The sequence below is a fragment of the Homo sapiens genome, chromosome 5 (assembly GCF_000001405.40).
Source record: "Homo sapiens chromosome 5, GRCh38.p14 Primary Assembly".
Taxonomy (NCBI): domain Eukaryota; kingdom Metazoa; phylum Chordata; class Mammalia; order Primates; family Hominidae; genus Homo; species Homo sapiens.
Window position 1 is genome coordinate 112,062,551 of NC_000005.10, and position 3,578 is coordinate 112,066,128.

General features: G+C 37.3%; 1 annotated feature.

The window, feature by feature from the left end:
* Positions 2,554–2,693: an enhancer, noted in NCBI's record as "active region_22904". NCBI's record gives its function as "activates an Ori minimal core promoter by ATAC-STARR-seq in GM12878 lymphoblastoid cells {active_cell/tissue: GM12878}" and the evidence as "EXISTENCE:reporter gene assay evidence [ECO:0000049][PMID:35858748]".

The following is a 3,578-nucleotide window of genomic DNA, read 5'->3' on the forward strand; positions in this document are numbered from 1 at the left end:
TGAACAAATAGGTAGTTTCTCTTGAGCTCCTAGAGTTATTACTGATAAGACTGAACTAACTTTTGTGTGAGAGAATACACTGTTTATACATCAAAGGAATTCTCATGTATGCCTTGTGAGTACCAGAAAACAAGTGTCACACACCACCGAACACTTCAAATAATTATTGTATCAAAAGAGAGAGATGACACCAAAATTTCAACCAATTAAAAACATTAAAATACAAAACATGTAAGAGTAGCCATTGTTGTTTCCTACATGTACTGGTGATGGAGAATGGAATATAAAATAAAATATGATGAAAGTCAGCTTTATGCATGGTGGATCTTACTACTCATGATCCTGCTCAGTTTCTCCTCAATTAGAAAAGTAAATTATTGTTTGGTCTACCAAATACTGTTTGTCTCGAGGAAACTGAAATAGTCCACAATGATTTGGTTCAGCCCCCTTGCTGTTCAGATGTCCATACTTAAATAATCCAAAATATGTAGTTGTTCATCTAATTTTTAAAGCCCCTCAGAAATAGAAATCTTATAATCTCTTCATTATAATAAGATGCTTCCTTCATATAAATTTACTCTTTCTGTTTACGATTAAACCCACTGCAGTGAAAGTAGATCTTACCATGGCAGCAGATAAGACTTTTTGTTCATTGATAAAGAATCAACAATACATGATAGGGAGCAAAGAGACAGCAGTAGGAAATAAAGAGAAATATTAAGACCATCTCATGAACACATGGCCTACAGCAGTGGTTCTCAAACTGTAGCCTATATCAGAATCACTTGGAGAACATATTAAACAGATTGTTGGCCCCACCCCCAGAGTTTCTAATTTAGTAAGTCTGATGTAATATACCATCTAAAAAGTTTGCATTTCTAAAAATTTCCCAGTGATGCTAACATTGCTAGTCCGGGGACCACATTTTGAGAACCACTGACCTATAATATTTGTTCCTGCCAAAAGCCCTAACCTCCTGAGACACCCCTCCAAAAAATGTGTACAGTATAAAGATATGCAATTTTTTTATTTTTCGTTTCACCTAGAAACGTTTTTTACATGCTATAGGGATTAGGTCTGTTTCCCTAACATTTGTTTCCCTCATGATGGAGCTAATTACTCTCTTCCAAAAAGATCCAAAGTGTTAAATGGTTATTTCCCAGACTGGAGCGTCATCTAGAAGATGGTATTTACATTTCAAGGAGGAATAAGCAGGCCTCAGAACTTGGAGACATTTCTTGGTGGTAAAAATCAAGACACACAGGGCATTCTGGATGCTGGAGAGATTTCACTTATAAACCAAAGAATTGGAGTAAGGATTCAGGTCCATTATGTTTTCAAAGAGGCCCTTTCAAGAGGGGAAGGGACTGCTGCTACCTCCTTCCCCATTATAAGCAGATAAAAATCATTTTTCTTGTTCTTTACCTCTGCAGTCTTCAGCTACTCCAGCAGAACATTTGGCCTCGCTTTTATCACATCATCCCAGAGGTGAAGTCTGGGGCAGCAGGGGCTGACATGCTTAAGAAATCTCTCTCTGATCCAGTATGCCTTGTGTGTGCACTCAGGATAAGTTAATAAAAATTAATATTAAGAACCCAATAGCAGCCCAGTCCTAAATCACCTCTGCTATGATTAGGATGCCTAACATTTCCTGATAAGAATCAGGACTGCACCCAATTGATTCTGTAAAAAGAGTATTAAATTGTATGCAAATTATTTCTATCTGGTGGAAAAAAATTACCCCATATGTTATCATTTATTGCCTTTAAGGCCATGAACAAGTTTCCAATCTAATTTAGTAATCTCATCTTAACATTCTCTTATTGAATTTCCTATAAATACCCAGTTTCTCAAATACACTTGGAATCAGCTTTCTATATTACTGATTACTGCACTAATTGATGAGTTGAGTGAAATCATTGACAGGTGCTTATATTTATATGAGTTACGTTTTGACCTATTTGAAAAATACATTTACCAGATGGTCCCACAGTCATCACGCCAACAGAGTGTCTAGCAGATGTAGGTGGTCTGTGCTGTGTTTGCATCTCTGCCAACTAATCATGGAAATTCTGTCTCTTCTCTTGACCAAAAAAAAAAAGCAGACTCAGCTTACTTGAGACATCACCATCATCTCTTCTTTAATATTTATATGCACTTTACCCTGCTTGAAATAGGAGAAAAGCAACTCTTATAGCCACTCTTTGGCAAAAGATTCTCCCAGAACGTCTAGGTAGCACAACTCCAGGAACTCCTGGAAGTTCTCATAAAATTCCATTTAAATGATACCCTCTGAAGTTGTGCAATGTGGGTAGCTCTGAATTAGCCCCACTGGGCCTTCGGACAGAAAGGATCATTAAAGCACATTCGTATTTTATCCATACTCTGTGGATTTTTAGTTGTATAAATAACTGCTCCTCTAGAGGATAAAGAGCCTACCTAGGTCCACATCTAGAATTATGTAATTAACGAGGAAAGGGCAAGTTATAGGCTGCTTAAATGTACATAATGAGCCTCAGTCCATTCCATTTTTCTTGCTTTTATGCAGAAAGCCACTTCCTCCTCTGTAAAAGTAGATGCACTTAGTCATTTCTTGACTCTTAAGCACTAAAGAAGCACAGAGGGTCAGAAAGACATGCAAGCCCAGCTACCTCTACTCATTCCTTTCCAGAGCACCTTTGCCTCAGAAGAAAGTTCTGGTCCTTTCATCCAGCTATATACATGGTCCATGTAACAGCTCTTGGTAGAAATAATTTTGCTCAATCGTTGTTGTGTGTGAAGCCATTGACCTATGTTGAGATGTGCACAATCAACAACGCACCACAGAAGAGCTCTGTCAAGAATGTCATTCATTATATCACACAATGCCATTTCTATTAAGACTTCAGAAAATACCTGCCTGTCCCCAGCCTCAGGAATACTTCTGTATCTCCAAAGCCACAAATATGTTTGTATCTTTTGTACACCTCACCCCTTGCTTCATTCTAATATCCATGCCTTTGTATTGTTGTCTTTTATTTTCCTTTAACATTATGTTATTTTACTCTCTCTTATTCTCTCTCTCTCACACACACACACACGTGCGTGCGCGCACACACACACACACACATCTGTAAACATTAGACCTGTCTGGAACAACGCAGACAGAAGAAAGGAATTATAAATTCTCTAAGTCCAGGATTTATTATACTAGCCATTTGTTAACTTATGCCCTAATGACTGCACATATTTTTCATCTATGATTCTTCCTCTCCTTATTTCCCAATTCCCCCCCCCCAGTTTTATCATAAACACTAATCAGTGGCTTATCCAATATTCAGTGATTTTTTTAAAGAAATGCATCTCTTTACATCTGCTAGTTATTTAAAAGTTGCCAAGCAACTGGGAAGAATTGATTAATGGCAATTGTTCATTTGGGGGAAGTGGTTTTTTGAATTAGTAGACAGTAATTTTTATATTCAAGTCTCTCTGCAGCCAAAAGTAAAATTTATTACTGCAGAACATGTTACTGATTGTGTTTTAAACTTTCACTGACCACCAGCAGCATATGAAGTACTATAAACAACAGCATTAGACAT